Source organism: Homo sapiens, chromosome 10, assembly GCF_000001405.40.
Source record: "Homo sapiens chromosome 10, GRCh38.p14 Primary Assembly".
Lineage (NCBI taxonomy): Eukaryota > Metazoa > Chordata > Mammalia > Primates > Hominidae > Homo > Homo sapiens.
The window spans coordinates 66,527,383-66,540,577 of NC_000010.11; the positions used below are offsets into that span (position 1 = coordinate 66,527,383).

The 13,195-nt window shown below is 35.1% G+C and overlaps 1 protein-coding gene across 8 annotated transcripts in view, besides 2 other annotated features; it reads right to left on the reverse strand.

Annotated features, from left to right (window-relative positions):
- Positions 1–13,195, reverse strand: part of CTNNA3 (catenin alpha 3) — a 1,851,072-nt gene that overhangs the window by 614,860 nt on the left and 1,223,017 nt on the right. The window lies entirely within an intron of this gene.
- Positions 1,086–1,255: an enhancer, noted in NCBI's record as "experimental_15439 CRE fragment used in MPRA reporter constructs". NCBI's record gives its function as "activates a minimal promoter by MPRAs in K562 erythroleukemia cells, with activity observed for the non-introgressed 10:68288311 variant allele {active_cell/tissue: K562}" and the evidence as "EXISTENCE:reporter gene assay evidence [ECO:0000049][PMID:34662402]".
- Positions 11,946–12,115: an enhancer, noted in NCBI's record as "experimental_15446 CRE fragment used in MPRA reporter constructs". NCBI's record gives its function as "activates a minimal promoter by MPRAs in K562 erythroleukemia cells, with activity observed for both the introgressed and non-introgressed 10:68299171 variant alleles {active_cell/tissue: K562}" and the evidence as "EXISTENCE:reporter gene assay evidence [ECO:0000049][PMID:34662402]".

Below are 13,195 nucleotides of genomic sequence, written 5' to 3' on the forward strand. Positions count from 1 at the left end.
TACTCAAGGTCCCTTGAGATTCCATATGAAATTGAGGATGTGTTTTTTTCTATATGTGCAAAATACATTGTTGGTATTTTGATAGGGATTACATTGAACTGGTACATTGCTTTGGTTAGTATTATCATCTTCATAATATTAAATTTTATAATCCATGAACATATGATGTCTTTTCTGTTTTTTATGTCTTCTTTAATTTCTTTCAGCAATATTTTGTAGTTTTCAGCAAAAACTACAAAGGAAAAGACATTCAGGTAAAAGTCTTTCACCTCTTTCGTTAAGCTTATTCCTAGGCATTTCATTTCGTATGATGCTATTATTAAGTGAAATTGTTTTCTCAATTCCCTTTTCAGATTGTTCATTGTTCGTATACAAAGACACACTGATTTTTGTGTGTTGATTTTGTATTCTACTGAATTCTGTTATTAGTTTTAAGATTTGTGTGTGTATAATCTTCAGGATTTTCTAAATATAAGAGTATGTCATCACTGAACAGTGATAATTTTATTTCTTCCTTCTCAATTTGGATACCACCAAAAAAATATATAAGTTTTTTTATTCGTTTAAAGTTGGATTTTGTCAGGCAAGTAAAAAGAAAGGAATTAATTGGATTGATTGAGGTTATAGGAGGAGTACACAGAACTCCAAGGAACTGCTGAAAGCACTCACCAGCCTCCTTTTAAATGGGGCTTCTGTTATTCCAAGGACATTCCCTGCCCACGCTCGCTCATAAGGGCTGTGTTTGATCCTCATTTCTCTTTCCTCATAGAGGCCTGTCCAAATTAGCTCCTGTTAGACCCTGTGCATTAGGTTGTCTGACACCCCAGACCAAAGCCAGTTTAGTTAGCTTCAGCTGGTCCCATTCTATCTTCTTTAGGCTTCTCCCCATTTTTACTGGTATATATGGCCAAGACCTCAACATGCTTCAGGCTAAGCTTCCTCATATTTTTCTATTAAATCAGATAGACAACTTTTACTACATTCTAAACTCATTTACCTTGGGAAACCCTTGAACATCTAAACTACGTTCAGAATATTTAGGATTTTCAGACTGTCTCAAGATTTTCTTTGTGTCCCTCTAGGTATTAGAAGCTTGTATTTACAGGCATCTCATTTGTACAGACGCCTTCTAAGACCCATAAGAGACTCTAGAAATGTGTTCACATTGTCATTTATTCTAGTAAAACCTGCCACAAATAGTTTTGGGATCCAGCTAAGGGGAAGTTGAGTTGAGGATACATTTAGTTTGTGTTTAGTGGGTAATTTCAGGTGTTTTACAGTCACTTCCCTATATTTTTTACCACCTTCATACTTGTGGTATTGACATCGGATCATGATAGAACCAATAGAGACTTTGCCTGTCCTAATTATATGTGCTCTCCTTTCTGAAACACCCCCCAAACAAACTATGCTAAAACAAAGACTGAATTATCTTCTCAGTTTCTACATAGAAAGTGACATTACAAAATAACTTGTTGTCATTTTAGAGGTGATCAAGAGTGTGCAGTGAAAGACAGAAAAAAAGAAAAGAAAAAAGTTTTATGAGGGTGTATCTGACACATCATTTATACAAATGTATTATTTTTCTGGATTTTGCTATATTTTGATATTTGACAGCATTTTAAAATTAGTATCTAGTTGGTTTTTGTTTTCTAAATAAATATTCACTTTTTCTTAAGGCCCTCAAAACTCTGTATACTTTAGGCTCCACACAGCCTGGCCTATCACAATCAATGTATTATTTATTTATTATAATTTTTTTGAGACAGAGTTTTTGCTCTTATCAAGCAGACTAGAATGCAATGGTGCGATCTTGGCTCACTGCAACCTCCACCTCCCAGATTCAAGCAATTCTCCTGCCTCAGCCTCCTGAGTAGCTGAGATTACAGATGTGTGCCACAGTGCCCGGCTAATTTTGTTTGTATTTTTAGTAGATATGGGGTTTCACCATGTTGGGCAGGCTGGTGTTGAATTCCTGACCTCAGGTGATCCACCCGCCTTGGCCTCGCAAAGTGTTGGGATTACAGGCGTGAGCCACCGAGCCCAGCCAAACAGTGTTTTTTTTTTGTTTTTTTTTTTTAATAAAAAAACCTATCTTCTGAAATGATAAAATGAACACATATTCAACTGCAATATTTTTATTCTTTACAGAGAAAAATGACTTCTTTCCCTTCACCTTCCTTTTGATGTGACAGTGGTTTTCTTCAAAAAAGTTATTTTGCTTTTACTATATGTGTAAAAATGGAAGAATAGTGTAGGAGTTATAAAAATAACATTACTGAGGACCTGCAATGTGCCGGGCATGTTTCTAATTACTTGATTTGTATTGTTTTTCATCCCCTGAGAAAGATCTTATCAGTATCTCCAATGTGCTGACAAGACAATGGAGGCACAAAGAGATGAAATAACTTGCCCAAAATTATAGAAGAAACTCTAGATTGGAAGCCAAGAGGCTCAAGTTAAAGTTTCACTTTGCTTTAAACTGATTTTATGCCCATAAAAAAAGTCATATTACCTCTCCAGGACCTATTTTCACAGAAATACATGTATGCATACACTGAGGTGGGGTGTGGAGACAGGGTTTGAATTAGCTCATGCCTTAGAGGTTCTTCAGATTTTAACATTTGATTTAATGCTGATGTATATACTTCTCTTGAAAGATTTCTAAAAACAATTACTTAAAAGGTGAAAATAAATCTACGTAATTTAATTTTTCCCAGAGATAGTTCAATATTGGCATTGATACAAATAATCTTAAAAATTTTACTTAATATAACAAAAGCACTTTGTGGATTAAAAAGATGATTTATATGTAGTATCTATAGGTCTGATTACCTCAGTGGCACGGCAAGTAGAGAAAATTAAAATAACTAGATATATGATGCCTCGAATACATCTAAGGTTGTATGTGAGGTGAATTTATGTAACAACCACTTAAATTGGTAACATCATCATAATTTCAGAATTCTAGCAACTGGAGTAATGGCATCAAATTCAATGCTCTAACTCTGTTCATCCTTTTCTCAGTTGCTTAAATGATGTTCTACTACTACCAAATATTTCTCACTTTCTACGTAGTTTTTCCACATTTCTTTATTTTGATAACTTTTTCTATTTTACCTGCTCTCATACTATACTTCATCTATGGCAAATTACCTTTACACTTCAAATTACGGCATGTAATACTTCCCACCATGAATCTCCATGTCAGAACTTTATGTTAAATGATAAAAGCATTTCAGAGTAGGGGAGGGTGTGGTGCTGAGGAGACCTAACCTGCCATGGACTCCAGGTTTACAATTAATGAAACTGCATTCAACTTTGGCCTCACAACCTTTTTTGTAATCTTCTTACTCCATGAAGGGATGATCCCTGCATGATGGGATCACTCACACGGAAACTTCTCACAAGACTCTCATTTGCCTTGGATAAACGTATAAGAAACCAAGCTATCCTATTCTAGGGGTTAAAAGTATTTTTTAAGAGGAGAAGGGGACAAAGTTTATTTCTGGGAGGATAGAGCTTTCTGTGAAAGTATATGCCAGTATAAATTTTCGTATCTCATAAAACATACTGCTGAAGAGGAAAAGTTCAACCTAGGACTATTTCGGTTATGGAAAATGTAATAAGTGGGAAAAATAATGCTCCCGGGAGGTCTGTAAAAGGCAATAATTCCACATGAAAATCAAAACATTTATTTTACTGTCTTTTACACTAAATATTAAGATTGGACAACCTTCCAAATTAAATAAGTAAAAGAGGAAAAGAATATAAAATGCATTGCTTGTGATGATAAAACAAAATCACCAATACGTAGGGTTTGTAGACTAATAAAAATAGAATTTGGAGTGAGGACTCCCATTTTAATCCAGCTCCAGTACTTAGTTTTGTGTGGTTTTAGACAAATTGCTTACTCTCTGAGCCTCAATTTCCTAATCTGTAATGATCATTAAAATGCTTGTTACAAAGGTTGTTGGTAGAATTAAATTAGATTATGGTTTGTTCGTTTGTTTGTTTGTTTTTGTGAGATGGAGGCTTGCTCTGTTGCCCAGACTAGAGAGCAGTGGTGCAGCCCCAAAAATTCAAGCAATGCTCCTGGCTCAGCCTCCTGAGTAGCTTGGATGACAGGCACTTGCCACCATGCCCAACTAATTTACAAATGATTGCTTCTATAAAGATAATTTGAAAATAAAATACAAGAATGCTTTAGGGATTTAAAAGAATACTATACACAAATATATATACACACAGAATTTACAATTTTGTTGAACTCAACAATCATTTTAATATTCCAATTTTTTTAAGTCTGAGTTAAATAAATATAAATAAGAAAAATTGAATCTACACACAATTTTTTAGGGTTTTCCTGTAACATAAAACTAAAATAAGAGAAAAATTGCCTTAAAACTATCTGATACCAATAACACATATTACAGTTTAAAGTAATAAAAATACTTTAACTGGCAATGATGAAAAAATAAATATAGGCAACAGAGATTTTTTGATCCATTATAATTTGCTACTCAGAGATTTAATAAGTTTAGAATTTGGAGTGGAAAAAAATTGGTACTATCTCCCAAATCATTTCAGTTCAAATGGAGAAATTTAAAATGAATTTAATATTTTTGCCAAATCTCCTTTTTTTAAAGGACTTTTATGTCAGAAACATCTACAAAGTTTCTCTTTAATGTACCATCCAATTTCATATAGACATAAAGTCAAAATGTAAGCTATTCATTAATTGCCAAAGTGTGTTTCATATAATAAGAGGTTGGCAAAAGTTAAAAAGAAAAAACAAGGCCTGGCGCAGTGGCTCACACCTGTAATCCCAGCCTTTTAGGAGGCTGAGGGAGGTGGATCACAAGGTCAGGAGATCGAGACCATCCTGGCTAACATGGTGAAACCCCGTCTCTACTAAAAATACAAAAAATTAGCCGGGCGTGGTGGTAGGTGCCTGAAGTCCCAGCTACTGGGGAGGCTGAGGCAGGAGAATGGCATGAACCTGGGAGGCGGAGCTTGCAGTGAGCTGAGATCGCGCCACTGTACTCCAGCCTGGGTGACAGAGCGAGACTCCGTCTCAAAAAGAAAAAAAAAAAAAAGGCATGTATTTGAAATGCCTGACAGCTTGGGATTAGACATATTCTTTGTAGACTTGGATTCAGCTTTGGTTTTAGCACTAAGAAGAGTTCACATAACATTAAGAAATTTAACTTTCTTAATTGTCAAATGATTTTTGCTCTGTGTCTACCATTTATCTAAGTTAGAGAGCATAAGACAGGAGAAACTCAGAAAATATTTCACTTTAAGTGTTCTAAGGGAGAAAAGTCACGCATAAATATTCAATAAAGGACAACACGTATATGAAATCTATGTAAGCAATGTTTTCCCTGAGTTGCAAGGGCATGTTAAGAAAATATGAGTACAAGGTACAAATAGGGTCGAAATAGTTAGGGTTGACTTCTCTTTCTCATTCCTCTCTCATTGTTCATGCTCTTGCATGGTCTCCTTCTCTCTCCTTCTGATGGGTTCCTAGAAATTTTATTAATATCCTTGACCTAGTATTTTGACCTCCAAGATACTATGTCCACTGCCACAACCCCACTCTACACGATCATTATCTCTCAGTGACAACTGAGGTAGCTTTAGTTCTGTTCCTAGCCACTCTCTACAAAGTGATATTTCCAAATTACTAATTTCACAAAATTCCTGCCTCCTCTTTTATCATAGGATCAAAGTCAAAGTACTTAATTTAGCCTAAGGCCCTGAAATATTTGGCCCCTGTTTATTTCTCTAGCATTATTTCCTATCAGCACCCCTCGATTTCCACTCTTCTTTGTCTAGGGGCATTTGTCTATGCTTTTCTTTCTGTAGGGATTTACCTCTTGTTAGGTAACTCCAATTTATCCAGCAGGGCTCACCTAAAGCATTATTTTCTCACGAAAACTTTATTAAATCTAGGTCAGTTTCCTAGATTGTCACGGTTGAGCATTTATCACACTACCTCAAATATATCAAATCTAGGTCAGGTTCCTGGATTGTCGTGGGTATTTATCTCAATATCTCAAACTTTATCAAATCCAGGTCAGGTTCCATCTAGGGTGAGTATTGATCTCACTATCTCTTCTCATTAACGAGATGTTCATTAGAGTGATCATCTGATGAATGACTAATCTCTACTTTCCATTGTTATAAAAAAGCAGTGATCTTAATGTCTTTATGTTATTTTCCCAGGGTACGTGGAAAGTGCCAAATAGAATCCCTCTTCCCATGTAACCAGGGCTCCAGTCTAAGGCTCCTTCTACTTTGCAAGCCTACTAATTTATTAAAGGCTTTTCCCAAGTGATCAAGTCTATCCCTACAGCGAACTCTTATACCAGTAGCTATGGTGATGAAAATATGTCTATATGGTCAGGTATGGAGGTTCACGCCTATAATCCTAGTGCTTTGGGAGGTCCAGGTGGAAAAATGGCTTGAGGACAGGAGTTCAAGACCAGCCTGGGCAACATAGCAAGACCCCATCCTTACAAAAGAGTTAAAAAATTTTTTAATGTACGTATCATTTTATTTTATTTATAACTCTGCAGTCACAAAAAATAGGGCCACTACTAAAGTGCATATTCAACAGCAAAGTGTTCATCAAATATCCATATTAAGCTATTCTAAAGATTATTCCAAGTGAATCACCAGGCTTTCCTTGTTGATCCATCCTGTGCTCAACTCTAGTGAGTCTCGAGTTAGCAAAAGGTAAACATTAAAGTGTGATTTCCCCCATGGAACTGTTATGCTCAAAAACTGACCATTTTGCTATTTCTTCAGATTTTAATTATATTACTTGGTTAGCTAGAGGTCAGAACAGGAAAATAAGAATGAATTCAAGCTGGAAAGGCCATTTAGAAATACTGTAGCAATTTTACCACACATTTAAGGTAAGAAAAGCTCTATAATCTATTTAAATTGACCTGAAACAAAGTTCTTTATTACCAGTATAGGTGGTAGATTAAAAATAGAGTATAATAAAAATAGTCAGATGCTACTATTAAAAGAGAATATTGGATTTTCCCAACTAGGATAGGATTTTATAAAAATCATATATATATATATATATATATATATATATATGTATATATATGATTTTTATCATATGTATCTATAAATCATACATTTATGTTTATATATATAAAAGAGAAATAAAATTCCCTGAGAATAGAATAATGTCTTTCTTAAATTAGAAGCTTTGTCTATAGTTTGGGCAACCCAATCTTTGTATCTTTTTATTTTAATCAGTCAAATTGGTAATATATAAAATTATTCAGTAAATTATATCATTTATAATAATTTAATAAATTATAGTATTTACTGAATAGCAAAGATCATTGGGAGTGATTAGAAAACATAAATTAACTATACGAACTTCATGAATTACTATATTAAAATTAAATTATTTATTTTCTAAAGTTATGAAGTATTAAAGTTTGGAAAGAACATATTTTCCATTCTGGAAATGGAAAAAAAAGCATGTTTTCTCATTAAATAATTACAAACATTTCCATTTAAAATTTACTACTCTATTGGAGAATTCTTCTTGGCCTCAACAGATTGCAAAAATTGCTAATGTTTATTTCATTCTCCAGGACCTGGAGTCCTTAATTGCTGATGCATATTCACTGGCGCATGCAAAGTACTGCAGTGATGCACTACTTATTGTAATAATTACATATTAAAGAACCTATGGCCTACATTCAGTCAGACTCACTTTGTGAGTTTACTTCTTAAGGGGGAAAAAAAAAACCCTGAATTACCAGTTACAAAATGAGTTAGTTGATAGACAAAAATTACCCAAGGAAAACATAATCAATAATATACACTGGAAAAGAGCTCCTCTTTGTTGAGCACAGATCTGCAATTTGTAATTTAAAGTGTTATTTATTTTGTTCAGGGCAGGTTGAGCTGTAACATGCCGTGTAAGAGATAAATACGGCTATGGTTCTTAATTACAGACTTTAATTCAATGGGCTATGTATAGAACCAGGAATAAGGTACTACTGTTTCCTGGGAGTTGGACTATGTAAATTAGATTGAGTAGTAGGACACAAAGCTATGAATAAGAAGGAATTATCTCCGGGGAAATATAGGTGACAAACCTACAATGGCTTTTAGCATCTGGCAGGTTCTATTTGAAGAGCTAATGTCATTCTATGTAATGGATTAGGAAGAACTGGATGCACTCCATAATGCAGGCCAAGCATAATTTCCATGATGACTGAGTCTTCTAACATATCAGACACTATAGCTGCCTTCAATTTTCTAGTCTCATTTTCAACCCTGTGGTGAGGGATGGGGAGGGAGAAGTCTGTATTTCTCCATAGTCAGCTGAGGCTACAGCAGCTGTGAAAGCAGGATTTGAGGGATAATTAACATGTAGAATTCATAGAATCATGACCAGTTGAATGTGAGAGATAAGAATTATGAAGGAATCAAGGACAGTCTCAAATTTATGGCTTGATGATTTAATTAATGATTATTTCAGTGATGAAAATAAAGAACACAAAATATATGGTTTGGGTGAGCAAAATTATTAGTTGAGTTATAGACATGATGAAATTAAAATATTGCAGCAAATCTATGTTGAGATACACAGATATCAGAAACAAAATCTGGGGAAGAAAAATAGATTTTTAGAGTCATTGACATAGAGAGCTATAGATTGTTGTTGAAACAGGGTGATGGATTCAGTACCAGGAGGTGAAACGACATGAGAGAGAGAGAGAGAGAGAGAGAGACAGAGACAGAGAGAGACAGAGAGAGAGAAATTAAAAAAGGTAATCCTTGTGGCTCACACCTGTAAACCCAGCACTTTGGGAGGTCAAGGTGGGCAGATCACCTCAGGTCAAGAGTTCGAGACCAGCCTGGCCAACATGGCGAAACTCCATCTATACTAAAAATGCAAAAAGTAGCTAGGCATGGTGGTGTGCACCTGTAATCCCAGCTACTCAGGAAGCAGAGGCAGGGGAGTCGCTTGAACCCCGGAGGCAGAGATTGCAATGAGCCGAGATCACGCCACTGCACTCCAGCCTGGTCAACAGAGCAAGACTCTGTCTCAAAAAAAAAAAAAAAAAGTAATTCCAGTATTCATGAATGTAGACAAATAAAGAAATGCATCCAAAAGGAAATGCTCAGAGTAGTAATAATCTCAACAAGAAGATCATGGTCAATAGGATCAAATACTGAAGACTAGTCAAATAAGACAAAGAAATAGGGGTTCCTAAATTTTGGTACTTATGCAGATACTAATGCCTTTAACAGAGAAGTTAAAGGTAGAAAACCTACAACAGTAGCCTGAAAGTAACATGATGAGAAAAAAATGGATGATAGAGTAGATTATTTGTAATTGAACCTAAGTTTATTTCATAGGTACTTATTCTTCATTGAGCGTTGCACTAAATTATACACTGTAGTTCTTTGTACCTCTCTCTTTCTCTCTGTCAAACTCTCTCTCTTCTATTATACAACTGGGTATATAGGAAGGAATTTTATGTATCCTAAAATGTTTAAAGTGACATTTATGCGGTGAAAATAAGCTTCACTCTTCTGGGTCAACTGTGAAATAGCATAAAAAGTCCGAGGTTAAATTAGAAGCAAAGCATTTTCTGTCAAACACAGTTTTTACTGAAAAAAAAAAAGACTTACATAAAATATATAACTATGGGTGGCTCATTTAGTTGTATATGGCAGAATTTTTTCTGTCCTCTTTCCAAATAACTCGAGTGGTTTCTTCAGTTTGACAAATAGTTATAAAAACAAGTTTGCAGCATAAAAGAAAAGGTGGCAATCAGCTCCTGCACAAAAACTGATTATTAACTTAAACAAGTCATAGAAACTAATGGTCAGGATTGCAATTACAGTCACAAAGACCAGACCACATCTTTATGTCAGAGGGCATAGAGTTCACTCACATTCAAGGTTCAATATGTTTGAATACAAACACAAGATGGGTGATTACACAGAACCCAGTCCATGAGGTGACTTCATTCATTAACCTTGGAAAATCCTCCATTGAAATTAGACTTTTCTTAGTTTATCGATGTTTATGTGAGATAAACTCAAGGCAAACTTGTATGACCTCAACCATTTCCCTTGTCACTCAAGGAAAGGGAATTATTTATTTATTAAATTATAAATGTATTTATAATAATTATAAATAAATTGTTATAATTTTATTTTTAATTTATATTTTATATTGTTATAAATAAATTATAACAATGAAAACATTCACAATGCTTTAAGAATGGAGTCTTAGCCAGGTGCAGTGCTCACCCCTACAGCCTTAATACTTTGGGAAGCCAAGGCTGGAGGATCACTTGAGACCAGGATTTGAGACCAGCCTGGGCAATATAGTGAGACCCCCATCCATATGAATTTTTTTAAAAAACTTCTCTGTGAAGTTACTAAAATCAGCAAAAATGGGTTAATATTCTCCTCAAAGCAGAAAAAAAAAGATCTCCATAGTTCCCAGGTTTTTCTTTAAGAACTTTTACTATATTGAAAGGATAAAAGATCTGTCATTCCTCAGAGCATATCACAAAGTTATCTTCCAAAAACACCCTCCACACCATCACTACATGGCATAACTTCCCTATCATGAAGTAGTAAAGAATCAATCATAGATATTTTCTTAACATTGGATAACACACTGTTTCTCAGGGACTGTCTGCTTAAGGGTTTTCTAAGACACTATGGCCTCATTGCCTGAAAACAACCAGTTCCTCACTGGCTACTCTTTAATAACACAATTTTTTATTTTCCTTTTTCCCTCCCTCTTCATTTAATTGATGTGCACAGGAGAGCAGATAAGGGTGATGTTCGGCTAGTGATCAAAAAAATATTTTTGTCATAAAAATCAACAGAAGCCTCTATTCTAGCATTTTCAGGTGGTGGTTTCAGAGTCTTTCGGGTAATTGGTTTTCTTGGACTCAGCAAAGGCAGACTTGCTTTTTCTGGGGAAGATATATTTCCAGAGGTTAGTGCTTGTAAATCTGCTGTTAGGTGCTGGTATATTTAGTGACTTTGGATCTATGGAATTTGAACTTGAGAAGTCCTTCCTGTGGCAAATTTAAAAATAGAGCAGCGTTGCAACAAACATAACCAAAAAGAAAGTGCTTGCCTTTCTGACAGTTCAGCTTGAGTGCTTCCAGAGCAGATAGATACGTGACTCTCCTGAATCAGGCATTTGAGACTTTACTGACGAACCTTTTAAATAATTATCAAAAGGTCACTTACATATGCTGTTAGATAGACTAACCATTGAAAGCATGAGAAAAACTGCTGATTTTAAGTAGTCTGTTGATAGGAACTGCTGTGGATTTAAAGAAAAGATAAATGTCTTCTGTCACAATACTGTCTTATTGTAAACAAATTCTATCCTAGCTAGAGATTCACTGAACAGAAAAGGAGCATTTTTAGAGACAGTTAATGTATCAGGTTTAACTGATTTTCATAATGGTGTTTTTAAAAAATTTTCCCTAGCTTTATTATTTTATGATTTTCTAACTTATCAGTATCATTTGTTCACACATTACCATCTATCTTACCTAACCTGTAGAACTTCCGTTCAAGTAATATGGTGTATGTTAAATGACTATTGTTGTCATCATTGCTGTTATTGTCATAATTATATTACTCATAGAGTTGTTTAAAACCTTGTTGTTCAAAGTGTCATCTGCTGACTAATACGACATTGGAAATGAGTCTCAATCATCAAGGTTTATTAGCCAGCTATAGTGTACATCCGGAAAAATAGGAGCCACAGACACTTTTGTTTTTCCAAAGAGGCTTTATGTGGGTATTTATAAATTTCCTTGAAGTGGGAGAGGGCAGGTAGAAAGAGGGGCAGGTGAGCAGGAAGGCAAATGGCTACATTCCCATGAGACTTGGGTTAGTGCCCAGTAAATCTACATTTACATAAGATTAATGAATGTTTGAAGAGAAAAAGAGAGTAAAGGAAGAAGAAATTATGCAGATGTCTCTGGGTAGGTGGAGGAATGAGTCTTGACATTGTTCTGCACCTGGGAAGATAAGCTCATACTGGTCTTTATCAGTGTGAAATCCAACAGACTTTAGTTTTAAGAGCTAGACTTACATTGTAGCCCTGAAGTTACAATTGGCATTCCCTTGTTTATATGAGAGGCCAGCAAAAATTTTACTTTTGAATGATCTATAGGGACAGTCCTTTTAGATGCTTGAGGCCTTTTACCTTCCCATGGGGATCTGGCTAAAGAATAATGTTAGTGACAGCTATTCATTTGGAAGAGGGTGTGGCAGGACAGGCTTCATTCTCCTTTTTGCATAAGAAGTTTAGGGTTCCTGAGATTTTAAATTTTTTCCTTTACAAAAAACATCAGCATCACCTGGGAGCTTGTTAGACATGCAGAATCTCAGGTTCTACCCCAGACCTACTGAATCAGAGCCTGCATTATAGAAGAACCCCAGGTTATTCATAGGCACATTAAATATTTAAAAGTACTACCTTAAAGGGATAAAATTACTTAGGTAAAATACCTATAATAGTCCTGGTCAATGTTTGTTAAATGTTGTCTTCCCTCCCTAACTCAGAAAATGGATTAACTCATTTTCTGTCTATCTTAGAAAGCTGACCTTCTTTTGTTTGTTATCACCAAACATTATCATCATAAATAACAATAATAAGAAGAGGTATTACATCCTTACTGTTATAAACATTGGGAATATAAGTACAAGCTATGATCCCTGAAATAGAATATATAATCTATTTAGGATGGCAGGACATTTTATAGAAAGTACTTAAATATGAGGTATCTATGTAGAAAAACTAATTCTCTGTCTATGAAAAATAGCATCCCAACAAAATGACTAGATAGCTGGAACAGTCTCACTTGAAATACAGGCAATTTGTTGTACATGAAATTCACTTTGGAAGTTTCTAGTTTAGACGAGTTAACTTCTCAGAAAGTTAGATGGTTATCTGTGAGATGAGCAGAAACTGAGGGACAGTACAGGAGGACCACTTGGCCACTGATTGAGAGAGACTTGCCACATGTATCTGCTATCTTGGACAGAAAAGAAACAAAACAGTTTCTGTAATGAGTCAAAAACTGAAAGCTCTTAGCCTGGATGTCCTGAAGTGCAGAAATAAAGTTGAGCCGTTTTTTCATGTAAACTG